Here is a 13254-nt window from a genome sequence, read left to right on the forward strand (position 1 = left end):
AACCACAGCTGCCTGCAGCAACATGGATGAGTCTAACCTACACAATGTTGTGCAACAGGCAGACATCTAATTCCATTCATACAAACACATGGTGAGGCAGGCTTTATTCCAGAAGCTACTACAGAGGGGCTTGGGAGGCCAGACTCAACTCCAGCTTGGACAAGAACAAGTGAGGGCTTAAAGCCGAGAAGCAGCAGGGTGTCTGGAGGATGAAAAATTACTAAGTGCAAACCTCAGAGATAAGGGGTGAATTCTTGCCAGACCAACTCAAGAGAAGTTTTCCTAAAGGCAGGCCCAGGGAAGAAGACATTGAAGGTGGGGGACAAGGAATTTGATCAGATATCAAAGTGGAGTGGGGAGTGCTACACACTTTTAAACAACCAGGTCTCATGAAAACTCACTCACTATCATGAAAACAGCAAAAGGGGAAATCCACCCCCATGATACAATCACCTCCCACCAGGTCTGTCCCCCAACACTGGGAATTACAATTTGACATGAGATTTTGGCAGAAACACAGAGCTAACCCATATCATTCTATCCCTGTCCCACCCCTAAATCTCATATTCTTCTCATACTGCAAAATGCAATCATGCCTTCCCAACAGTCCCCCAAAGTCTTAACTCATTCCAGCATTAACTCAAAAGTGCAAGTCCAAAGACTCATCTGAGACAAGGCAAGTCCCTTTCACCTATGAGCCCATAAAATCAAAAGCAAGTGAGTTACTTCCAAGGTACAATGGAGGGTACAGGCATTGGGTAAATTCCCCTATTCCAAAAGGGAGAACTTGGTCAAAACAAAGGGGCTACAGGTCCCATGCAAGTCTGAATACCAGCAGGGCAGTCATTAAATGTTTAAGCTCCAAAATAATCTTCTTTGACTCCATTTCTCACATCCAGGTCACACTGATGCAAGGGCTGGGCTCCCAAGGCCTTGGGCACTCCACTCCTGTGGCAATGCAGGGTACAGCCCCTGTGGCTGCTTTCACAGGCTGGTATTGAGTGCTTGTGGCTTTTCCAGGCACACGGTGCAAGCTAACGGTGGACCTACCATTCTGGACTCTGGAGGATGATGACCCTCTTCTCACAGCTCCACTAGGCAGTGCCTGAGTGGGGACTCTGTGTGGGGGTTCCAACCCCACATTTCCCCCATCCCCCTGCCTTAGCAGAGGTTCTCCACGAGGGCTCCACCCATGCAGCAGACTTCTGCCTGGACGTCCAGGTGTTCCCATACATCCTCTGAAATCTAGGCAGAGGCTCCCAAACTTCAACTCTCGCCTTCTGTGCACCCACAGGTCCAATACCACATGTAAGCTGCCAAGGCTTGGGACTTGCACCCTCTGAAGCAATAGACCAAGCTGTACATTGGCCTCCTTTAGCCACAGTTAGAACTGACGCAGCTGGGATGCAGGATGCCAAGTCTTGAGGATGCACAGAGCACTGGGGCCCTGGACCCTGGCCCACAAAACCATTTTTCTCTCCTAGGCCTCCAGGCTTGTGATGGGAGGGGCGGCTGAGAAGGTCTCTGAAATGCCCTGCAGGCATTTTGCTCATTATCTTGCCTATTAACTTTCAGCTCTTCTTTACTTATGTACATTTCTGCAGCCTTTGATTCCTGCCAGAAAATGGGCAGCAAATTTTCAAAACTTTCATGCTTTGCTTCCAGTTTAAATGTAAGTTATAGTTTTAGGTCATTTCTTTGATTATGCAATTGAGTGCAGACTTTAAGAAGCAGCCAGGCGACCTCTCCAACACTGCTGCTTAGAAATTTATTCTGCCAGATACTCTAAATAATCTTTCTCAAGCTCAAGTTGTGTCTGTCACAGATCTCTAGAGCAGGAGCACAATGCTGCCAGTCTTTTTGCTAAAGCACAGCGAGAGTGACCTTTATTCCAGTTACCAGTAAGTTCCTCATCTCTATCTGAGACCACCACAGCCCAGACTTCACTGTCCATATTATTAGCATTTTGGTCACAACCATTTAAGTCTCTAGGAAGTTCCACACTTTCCCTCAACTTCCTGTCTTCTTCGGATCCCTTCAAACTGTTCCAACATCTGCACATTACCCAGTTCCAAAGTAGCTTCAGGAATCTTTATAGCAGTGCCCCACTCCTGTTACCAACTTTCTATACTAGTCCATTCTCACACTGCTGTGAGGAACTACCTAAGATTCGGTAATTTATGAAGAAAAGAGGTTTAATTGACTTACGATTCCACAGGCTGTACATGAAGCATGGCTGGGAGGCCTCAGGAAACTTACAGTCATGGCAGAAGGTGAAGAAGTAAGCATGTCTTACCATGGCAGAGCAGGAAAGAGGGTGAATGAAGAAGGAAGTGCTACACACTTTTAAACAAGCAGGTCTCATGTGAACTATCATGAGAACAGCAAGGAGGAAATCTGCCCCCATGATCCATTCATCTCCCACCAGGTCCCTCCCCTAACAAGAGAATTACAATTTGACATGAGACTTGGGTGGGGACACAGAGCCAAACCATATCAGATTCTGTTTTGAGACAGGGTCTTGCCCCATTATCCAGCCCACAGTGCAGTGGTGTGATCACGGCTCACTGTAGCCTCAAACTCCCAGGCTTAAGAGATTCTTCTGCCTTCTTCCTGACTCTCCCTCCTGATAAGCTGGAACTAAAGGCACATGCCATCACACCTGGCTAATTTTTACATTACTATTTGCAGAGATGGGGGTCTTGCTATGTTGCCCAGGCTGGTCTTAAATGCCTAGGCTCAAGCAATCCTCCTGCCTCAGCCTCCTGAAGTGGTGAAATTACAGGTGTGAGCTACTATGCACATCCAAACATCTTGCTCAAACTGGATCCTATAGGGAAAGGGAGAAGCCCAAGGTCAGAGGGCTCAGGGGATCCTGATTTAAGTTGGGTCAAGGAGAGTCTGCAGTGCACTTTTCTGTATGTGAGCTATACTCAAACGCAACTCTCTGGAGAAGACAAGTCAGCCTGGTCCCCTTTCATCCATCACCACACCCTGGGACACAGCACCATCCCATCCTGACTCCAGAGGGTTCAACAAGGGTCCCCGCTAGTCCTCCATGCCCCTGCACCTCTCACCATGAGATCACCATATCCCAATGTGTGTGGGGGAGCTTTACTTCTCTAAATGCTCTTTCAGGGCCACTCTTCCCTTCTTCACTCCGTGCCTCCATTACCTATCTACTCATTCCTCTCTCAGGACTGGCTGCCCACCCTTCCCATGACACAGCTATCAGAGGCATACCAAGGTTGGCTGCCTCATGGGAGACAGCAAGTGCCATGGAGGCCACAGCTGATGCCAGACAAAAGAGAACACACACAGAGAAGGAGGCATGGCTGCTTGAAGCTCCCCACGAGCTGGCCTGAGGGTCCGGACCTCAGAATACCAGCACCATGGAGACACCAGGTCACACACACATGAACCTTGATCCAGCTAATACAATGGGCCTGGCTGACCCCAGTCCTGGACTGACTCATCACTAATCTTCACTATCGTCACACCTGTCCCTTCTCCCAGGAGAGGAAATTGTCTAGAGGCAAAATCCCAAGGGGATCCACTCATGGGGCTTCAAGGCTGTGTCATCCACCTTGACTGGCTTTCACTCGGCCAGTACTGCACTGCCTCGGAAGGGCCACTCCAAAGTCATCCCAAATTTTCTACAGGCTTCCTGTTCTCCATTCTCTGGGACTCACTCTCTCTTCTACACTGACAACCCCTTATAACCCAAGTCCCAAAGAAGGAAGTTATTCTCATGCCCTGGGCTTTGGGATGCTGATTCCAGAGACGCTACTGCCCAATGCCCCTCCATCCACACTTACAGCTTCCCTGTTGCCCTGATCCAGTCCCTACTACTAAAGGTCCAAAGAAACCCCAAATTAACCTCCTTTTGGCTTCACTTTTTAATTTATTACCAAATTATTATGCCAACAAGTATCTGTAACAGAGAAAAAAATATGATACAAAATTCCAGTCCCCAAAGAAAACCACATTTTATTTCTCCATCATCCACTTTCAACATACATCCATATGTGCACATATTTTTACATGGCTGGAATAATAGTAAATCTTCTATTTGATGCCCCTTTTTGCCATATTATAAACATTTTCAACATGGCAATAAAACCTTTATAATGGTTCACAGTGGCTGAATTAGAAGCATCCTAAATGAACAACCATGGAGGTAGTGGTGGGGTGATAACATAAACATAACAACTCAGTATTTTTGCTTCAACAACTAAAGCAACAAACCACATCTGTTAGAAGCAGCCCTTTCCATCTTAGCACAAGCTTGTTTCAGTCTTTTTTTTTGAAATGGAGTCTCGCTCTGTCACCCAGGCTGGAGTGCAGTGGTGCGATCTTAGCTCACTGCAACCTCCACCTCCCAGGTTCAAGCAATTCTCCTGCCTCAGCTTCCCAAGTAGCTGGGATTACAGGCACACACTACTATGCCCAGATAATTTCCTGTATTTTTGGTAGAGATGGGGTTTCACCATGCTGGCCAGGCTGGTCTTGAACTCCTAACCTTGTGATCTGGCCGCCTCGGCCTCCCAAAGTGCTAGGATTACAGGCGTGAGCCACCACATCTGGCCTGCTTGTTTCAGTCTTAAGAGGAACGACTTCATTGTTCATTCACAGGTAATTTATTCACCTAGTTTGCCCTCCTGCAACGAGTCCTCAGCATTATTGCAGGAGTATAATGCAGACATACATTCAAACAGGAAAATCTCACACATTCTGTGGTGTGTGCAGTACAGCACTGTGTGGACTCTCTCATTGTACACCTTTGTTGTTACAGAAAACACAGTAAGAGCCCCTGCCAAAGCCTCTCTTTCTGATTACACTTAAAAAAGGTTGATTCAGGCCAGGCAGTGTCTCATGCCTGTAATCCCAACACTTTGGGAGGCTGAGGTGGGCGGATCATGAGGTCAGGAGTTCAAGACCAGCCTGGCCAACACAGTGAAACCCTGTCTCTACTAAAAATAGAAAAAATTAGCCAGGCATGGTGGCAGGCACCTGTAATCCTAGCTACTTTGGAGGCTGAGGCAGGAGAACTGCTTGAACCTGGGAGGCAGAGGTTGCTGTGAGTGGAGATCATGCCACTGCACAGTGAGACTCTGTCCGAAAAAAAAAAAAAAGTTGATTCAGTGTTTGCTTACGTACAAGGTGGAAACTCCCTACTACAGGGCTCTTCATTCCAATCATGTTCTGAATGCATTCACAGGTTCTCTCTGTGGTGTCACCCCCATGTTTGCACATTTCATTCCAGTGTGTGTGTTGTCATGTCTGGTACAGACTGAATCATCCCCAAAGACTTTTCTGCCCTCATCCTAAGTTGTCTCTGGAGTTCCCCAATGAGCAGACTTAACAGTGTGGCTCAGCAATGTCTCACATTCATCAATTCACTGGATAGCTTAAAGGATTCTTTTCTACTGACCAGAGAGGAGTCAGATCTAAGACACGCCTCCTAAACACAGGAGTGAGAGTGAACTGGAAGACTCATGTGGCCCCCAACCATTATGTTTCCATGGGTTGCTCTCCCAGGTGTGCTCTTTGATGTCGAACAAGGGATGAGCTCTTTTGGAACATTTTTCCACACTGAGGACACCGGCTGGGACCCTCCCTGCTATGGAGTCTCTGATGTACTGCCAGGTGAGAGTTCTGCTTGAAGGACTTCCCACATTCTGGACACTGATATGGGGTCTCCTTAGTGTGAATTCTCTGGTGCTTGGTCAGACAGGAGCTGTCCCTGAAGGCTTTGCCACACTGATTACACTCATAGGGCTTCTCACCAGTATGAGTCCTCTGGTGCCTAATGAGGCCAGCGATATTCCTGAAAAGTTTCTGACACTGGTTGCAGCCATAGGGCTTCTCGCCAGTATGAATCCTCTGATGCCTGATGAGGTACGCACTCTCGATGAAAGTCTTGCCACATTCTTTACATTCATAGGGTTTCTCCCCAGAATGGATCTTTTGATGCACAATGAGGTGAGAGTTTCTGTTGAAGGATTTCCCGCACTCTGCACACTCAAAGGGCTTTTCTCCAGTGTGAGTCCTCTCATGCTGGGTGAGGTACGAGCCGTCCCGGAAAGCCTTTCCACATTTGCTACACTCATAGGGCTTCTCACCGGTGTGGATTCTGAGATGCACTGTAAGGTGGGAGATGTCAGTGAAGGGTTTCCCACATTCGTTACATCTATATGGTTTTTCCCCTGTATGAGTTCTTTGGTGCAAAATTAAGGATGAATTTCGGTTGAAGGTTTTTCCACACTCTAGGCATTCATAAGGTTTCTCGCCTGTGTGAATTCTCTGGTGCTGTGTCAGAGCTGAGCCATCACTGAAAGCTTTCCCACATTTACTGCATTCATAGGGCTTCTCTCCTGTGTGGATTCTTTGATGCACAATCAGGTTGTAGTTCTTGGAGAAGGACTTTCCACACTCATTACAAGTATAAGGCTTCTCTCCGGTGTGAGTTCGGTGATGCAAAACAAGAGAAGAGTTCCGTTTGAAGCATTTGCCACATTCAGTACATCTATATTGTTTCTCTCCAGGGAGATTTCTCTGGTTTTCATTAAGCGATGAGCTCAGAGTAAAGATGTTCTCAAAATTCTTACCTTCATACGATTTCTTGCCTCTTTTCATTATTTTCTGATGACCAAGAGAGGTAAAATGATTAAAAGACTTAACACTTTCAGGGTATTTGTAGGGCTTCTCTCTCACTGGATTTCTTCCATGAATAACTTCCATGGAATGGTTGAAGCCTTTTCCACAGGCATCACTGTCACCAGTTCTCTTATCTGCATAACTTTTAGGATAGCTGGGTAAGGCGGGGTCACAATCCAGACCACTAACATTTGAGTCAGGTGCATGGAAACCATTTGTTGCCAGAACTCTCTGAGACGGTGGAAGGTCTGAGCTTGCAATCAAATGCTCCCCAAAACCAGGATATTCACAAATTGCTTCCTGAGTCCCTGGTTTCTCCAGAGTTAAAGCTGATTGCCTCAAGTGTCCCTCCTGGTTCTCACAGTCCCAACCATCACCTAAACTGGACAAGCAGGGAACTTCCCTTGTGAATCTTTCCACTTCTACATCACAGGGTACTTCTCTCTCAGGAAAATTCCGAGTCGTCATTTTCAATCTCATATCCCAAACTGCAAAAAGAAGAAAAATGCAGACTTAGGTATATGAAGCTTTATCTGTAAGAGAAACAGACAATGATGATGGGCTAGGTGTAAAGATGTGTATTTTTTTACTTGTTTTCTCTTTTAAATTCAAATTTATACAAGGAAGAGGTAAAATCGTAGCCAAGGAATGGAACCAAGAACAGATTCAAAAAGAGCCATGTAGCATTTTCATCTTCCTAGAGAGCAGGCAGGAGGAATGGACCTCGGGATAAATCATCACCAAAAGGATTAGTTTGAGATGTGAGAGACCAGAGGCCAAGCATCCCTGCTCCCCCTAGAATTCCATCCCAGCCACTGCATTCTTGTCCCTGTCACACACTGCCCATCAGTACACATTTCCAAAGCTCTGACTTCACAATGAGCTTACAACAGCACTGAAGGAACAGTTCTCACCCCAGCTCTGTCATCAAAGTTCTGCATTCATGGATAGGACAAAGCACAGGCTTGGTGACCTAAAAGTTCTGGGTCTAAGTCTTAGAACTGTCAATGACCTGGCGGGGCACAGTGGTTCACTCCTGTAATCCCAGCACTTTGGGAAGTGGAGGCAGGTGGATCATTTGAAGTCAGGAGTTCAAGACCAGCCTGACCAACATGGTGAAACACCGTCTCTACTAAAAATACAAAAAAAATCAGCCAGGCGTGGTGGCACATGCCTGTAGTCCCAGCTACTCTGGAGGCTGAGGCAGGAGAATCACTTCAACCTGGTAGGCAGAGGTTGCAGTGAGCTGAGATCACACCACTGCACTCCAGCCTACGCGGCAGAGTGAGACTCCATCTCAAAAAACAAAACAAAACAAAAACTGTCAAAGACTGCCCTGCATGGTTGTTATAAAAACTGGATCATGTCGGCCAGGCGCGGTGGTCACGCCTGTAATCCCAGCACTTTGGGAGGCCGAGGTGGGCAGATCACAAGGTCAGGAGATTGAGACCATCCTGGCTAACGTGGTGAAACCCCGTCTCTACTAAAAAAATACAAACAATTAGCCAGGCGTGGTGGCGGGCGCCTGTAGTCCCAGCTACTCGGGAGGCTGAGGCAGGAGAATGGCGCGAACCCGGGAGGCGGAGCTTGCAGTGAGCCAAGATCGTGCCACTGCACTCCAGCCTGGGCCACAGAGCAAGACTCCGTCTCAAAAAAAAAAAAAAAAAAAAACTGGATCATGTACAAAGCAGTCTCCAAGGCTAGGGGATGAAGGGCATTCTGTAAATGGTTGCATGTGTCTTCATGCATATCAATCTTCCTGTCACCATCCTTGTCCATTCAGACTTCACAATATTAAGACAACTGGTTGTCCATTCATTCGTTCATTCATTTGGTGGGATCGGGTCTCGCTCTGTCATTCAGGCTGAAGTGCAGTGGTGTGATCTTGGTTCACTGAAGCCTCAATCTCAAAAACTTCAAGCAATTATCCCACCTCAGCCTCCCAAAATGCTGCAAATACAGGGATGAGCCATTGTGCCCAGCCTTCTTTCTATTTTTTAAGGTAAAATGAAAATAGACCCTTGCCTCAGAATACATACATACATATATGTCTACATTCTAGGCAATTTAAATATATATACATGTATATGTGTATATGTGTGTGTGTGTGTGTGTGTGCGCGTGTATTTACATTTCAGAAGGATACAGGCTGCAACATAAAGTCAAAGTTTAAATAATGTAGTATGCCTTCATAAGTGTGGCAGACTTTGATCAACAAAACTTAACCAAAAAACCATATGGCCAAGCATTGGGGGTCATGCCTGTAATCCCAGCACTCTGGGAGGCTGAAGTGGGAGTTATCACTTGAGCCCACACAGAAGGCTGAGGCTGCAGTGAGCTGTAATTGTGCCACTGCATTCCAGATTGGGCAAAAGAGACCATGTCTTAAAAACAAAAAACAAAAACCAAAAAATAAAAAACAGACAAGGATTAAGAAGTCTGATATCAGCATTCAAATTTTCCATCCAATAAAAGACACAATAAGAGACAAAATGCAAGTGGCAGATAGGGAGAAAATAGGACTTAAAAGCACAAAGAATTATTGCCCAAGAGCTATAGAGGATTCTTACAGAGAGAAAATAAGATTTAAAAGCACAAAGAATTACTGCCCAAGAACTACAGAGGATTCTTACAGAACAGCACATAAAAAGAAAAAAAATGGGCAAAGTAATCAAAGAGCACTTCGTGAAGGGAAAATAGAAATGTCCTGAAAACATTGGCTGGGAGCAGTGGGTCACGCCTGTAATCCCAGCACTTTGGGAGGCTGAGGCAGGTGGACCACAAGGTCAGGAGATCGAGACCATCCTGGCTGACACGGTGAAACCCCGTCTCTATTAAAAATACAAAAAATTAGCCAGGCGTGGTGGCGGGCGCCTGTAGTCCCAGCTACTTGGGAGGCTGAGGCAGGAGAATGGCATGAACCCGGGAGGCAGAGCTTGCAGTGAGCCGCGATAGCGCCACTGCACTCCAGCCTGGGCAACAGGGCGAGACTCTGCCTCAAAAAAAAAAAAAAAAGAAAGAAAAAAAAGAAATGTCCTGAAAACATCAATATTTATTTTCTCATTCTATCATTCAGGCAATTCCAAACTGCGACTTTAAGAACACAAAATATACACATTTCACGTGAGTAAAAATAAAATGAAGTACAATAATATAAAGCTTTGGTAGGTCACAAGGGAAGAGGGCTTGGAAAGTGGTCAGCGTGCTTGGCAGGGTACCTTAGTGGCAGCTGTGAAAACATAAACTGGGGGCAGGCGCGGTGGCTCACGCCTATAATTCCAGCAGTTTGGGAGGCTGAGGTGGGTGGATCACCTGAGCTCAGGAGTTCGAGACCAGCCTGACTAACATGGTGAAACCCCACCTCCACTAAAAATACAAAAATTAAGCCAGGCACAGTGGCTCACGCCTGTAATCCCAGCACTTTGGGAGGCTGAGGCAGGTGGATCACCTAAGGTCAGGAGTTCAAGACCAGCCTGGGCAACTATGTCTCTACTAAAAATACAAAAATTAGCTGGACGCGGTGGCGCATGCATGTAATCCCAGCTACTCGGGAGGCTGAGGTAGGAGAATCGCTTGAGCCTAGGAGGCAGAGGTTGCAGTGAGACAAGATTATACCATTGCACTCCAGCCTGGGGGACAGAGCGAGACTCCGTCTGAAAAAAAAAAAAAAAAAAGAAAACATAAATTAGGTATATTCTACCACCCAGCAGTTCCACTGGTAGGTATCTCAGAGTCAGAAAGCTGGATAAACGAACATCAATCCATACCTACGTAGATAGATGGTCTTTTTCTTTTTTCTTTTTTTTTGAGACAGAGTCTTGCACTGTCACCCAGGCTGGAGTGCAGTGGTGCGATCTCAGCTCACAGCAAGCTCCGCCTCCCAGGTTCACGCCATTCTCCTGCCTCAGCCTCCCCAGTAGCTGGGACTACAGGTGTCTGCCACCACGCCCAGCTAATTTTTTGTACTTTTAGTAGAGACAGGGTTTCACTATGTTAGCCAGGATGGTCTCGAGCTCCTGACCTCGTGATCCGCCCGCCTCAGCCTCCCAGAGTGCTGGGATTACAGGCGTGAGCCACCGCGCCTGGCCAATAGATGGTCTTAAAGGCCAGCAGAGAGAAGAGAAACCACCAGTGAATGACGAAAATTATTACAATAGATCACTTAATAGAAAAACTGGAAACCCAAAGGTAACGGAAGGCTACTTTCAAAGCACTGAAGGAAAAAATCTATCAGTCACACTATTGTTCAAGAGCAAAGGTGAGATAAAGACTGTTTCAGAGGCTGGATGTGGTGGCTCATACCTGTACTCTCAACACTTTGGTAGGCCAAGGTGGATGGGTCACTTGAGCCCAAGAGTCTGAGACCAGTCTGGGCAACATGGTGAAACCCCGTCCCTACAAAAGATACAAAAATTAGCAGGGTGTGGTGGCATGCGCCTGTTAGTCCCAACTACTTGGGAAGCTGAAGTAGGAGAATTGCTTGAGCTCCAGGGGTTGAGGCTGCGGTGAGCTATGATTCACTCCAGCCTGGACAACAGTGAGACTGTCTCAAAAAAAAAAAAAATTCAGAAAAGCAAAAGCAGAGTTCATTTCCAAGGATACTAGCCAGAGGAATTAGAAAATGTTGTTCTTCAAAAAAACCCCAAGAACGAAGGAAGGAAAAACAAAGGAATTGATGAATATGATGAATGTGGGCTAGGTGTGGTGACTCACACCTGTAATCCCAGCACTTTGGGAGGTCGAGGTGGGGGGATCACTTGAGCCCAGGCATTTATGACTAGTCTGGGCAACACAGTGAGATGTCATCTCTTAAAAAAAAAAAACTGATGAATGTATATTTAAATCAAATCCAATGCTGACCACATGAAATGCAGAAATCACGACTTGGAATTAATGGGATAGACTAATATACTAGACAACAGTGGCCAATGAGGTGGGAATGGGGCAACAGAATCAAGTGTTCTGAAGTCCTCAAGTTTCTCATGATTCATGTTAGACCTGCTCAAGTCAGAATTAAAAGAATAAATGTAGTATAAAACATCTAAGCCCACAGAGCAGTAGTTTTTAACCAGGGATGTTTCTACTTCCAGAAGATACTTGGCAATATCTGGAGATGATTTTGGTTGTCAGTCTGACTAGGGGGCAGATGTTCCTAGGAGCCACGGATGCTGCTAAATATCCTATAATGCACAGGATGGACTTCCACAACACAAAATGATCCAGCCCCAAATGTCCATAGTACTGAAGTTGAAAAACATTGTAGAGGGAGGTCAGAATTAAAAACAAAAACAAACAGACAAAAAACCCGATCAATCCAGAAAGCTGGTAAGGGGTAAAAAACAGCACAAAAAGGACAGACTAAATACAAAGTGTAAAGTAAGGTATCAACAATTACAATAAATATAAATGGCCTTGATGGGTCAGATAAAGACTGCATTAGACTGTATTAAAAAACATGTTTGTAACAGGTATTCCTAAAGCAAAAGGACATAAAAGCCAAAAGTGAAAGGATGGGACAGGTGAATGCCAAACAAAGAAGGGTTTTGTGGCTCTTTACAAACCAAAGAAAAATTTCAAGTGAGGATCACAGGGCAATGTAACAGTAACAACATGCCTCAAAACACAGAGCAGGCCGGGCGCGGTGGCTCATGCCTGTAATCCCAGCACTTTGGTAGGCTGAGGCAGGCGGATCACTTGAGGTCAGGAGTTCAAGACCAGCCTGGCCAACATGGTAAAACCATGTCTCTACAAAAACACAAAAATTAGCGAGGCATGGTGGCACATGCCTGTAATCCCAGCTACTCCAGGAGGCTGAAGCAGAAGAATTGCTTGAATCTGGGAGACAGAGGTTGCAGTGAGCCAAGATTGACCCACTGAACTCCAGCCTGGGCAACAGAGCAAAACTCCATCTCAAAAAACAAACAAACAAACAATCAACAACAAAAAAACACAGAGCAAAGCCAGCTAGGTTTGTAGGAAGAAAACAGCAAATCTAAGGATAGTGGGAAATTTTATTTATCTGTTTTTTGAGGTTTTTTTTTCTGATCAAGTAGCTCAGATTATATTTAAATTTTAAAAAATGTTTTAATGTAATTGTTTAATTTTTATAATGGGGGTCTCAGTATGTTGCCCAGGCTGGCCTCAAACTCCAGAGCACAAGCGATCCTCCTGCCTCAGCTTCATGAGTAGCTGGGACTATAGGCACATGCCACTGCAACCAGCCATAGTGGGAGGTTTTATTTTATCTATTTAATTTTTTTTTTTGAGACGGAGTCTCACTCTTGTCGCCAAGGCTAGAGTGCAGTGGCACGATCTCGGCTCATTGCAACCTCTACCTCCCGGGTTCAAGCAGTTCTCCTGCCTCAGCCTCCCGAGATGGGATTACAGGTGCCCACCACTACGCCAGCTAATTTTTGTATTTTTAGTAGAGACAGGTTTCACCATGTTGACCAGGCTGGTCTCGCACTCCTGGCCTCAGGTGATCTGCCTGCTTCGGCCCCACAAAGTGCTGGGATTATAGGCATGAGCCACTGCACCCGGCAGGTGGGAGGTTTTAATGAACCTCTTTTAGAAATGAAAACGCAGAAGAATGGA

At 45.9% G+C, this 13254-nt stretch overlaps 1 protein-coding gene across 12 annotated transcripts in view; it reads right to left on the minus strand.

The window, feature by feature from the left end:
- Positions 1 to 3884: 3884 nt before the first annotated feature.
- The window catches only part of ZNF329 (zinc finger protein 329), a 28857-nt gene continuing 19487 nt past the window's right edge, over positions 3885 to 13254 (minus strand). For 6 of the 12 annotated variants that reach the window (XM_011527313.3, XM_011527310.3, XM_011527311.3 and 3 more), the window contains 2 exons: positions 10276 to 10313; positions 3885 to 7148 (listed from right to left, as the gene is read on the minus strand). In XM_011527313.3, coding sequence (XP_011525615.1) covers positions 5515 to 7148; positions 10276 to 10313 — 1672 coding nt within the window. In that variant the 3' untranslated portion in view covers positions 3885 to 5514. Of the gene's footprint in view, positions 7149 to 7574; positions 7749 to 10275; positions 10314 to 13254 lie in introns of those variants that run through there. The other 6 variants (XM_006723384.4, XM_006723383.4, XM_011527316.3 and 3 more) reach the window with 2 other exon arrangements.

This window comes from Homo sapiens, chromosome 19 (assembly GCF_000001405.40).
Source record: "Homo sapiens chromosome 19, GRCh38.p14 Primary Assembly".
Taxonomy (NCBI): domain Eukaryota; kingdom Metazoa; phylum Chordata; class Mammalia; order Primates; family Hominidae; genus Homo; species Homo sapiens.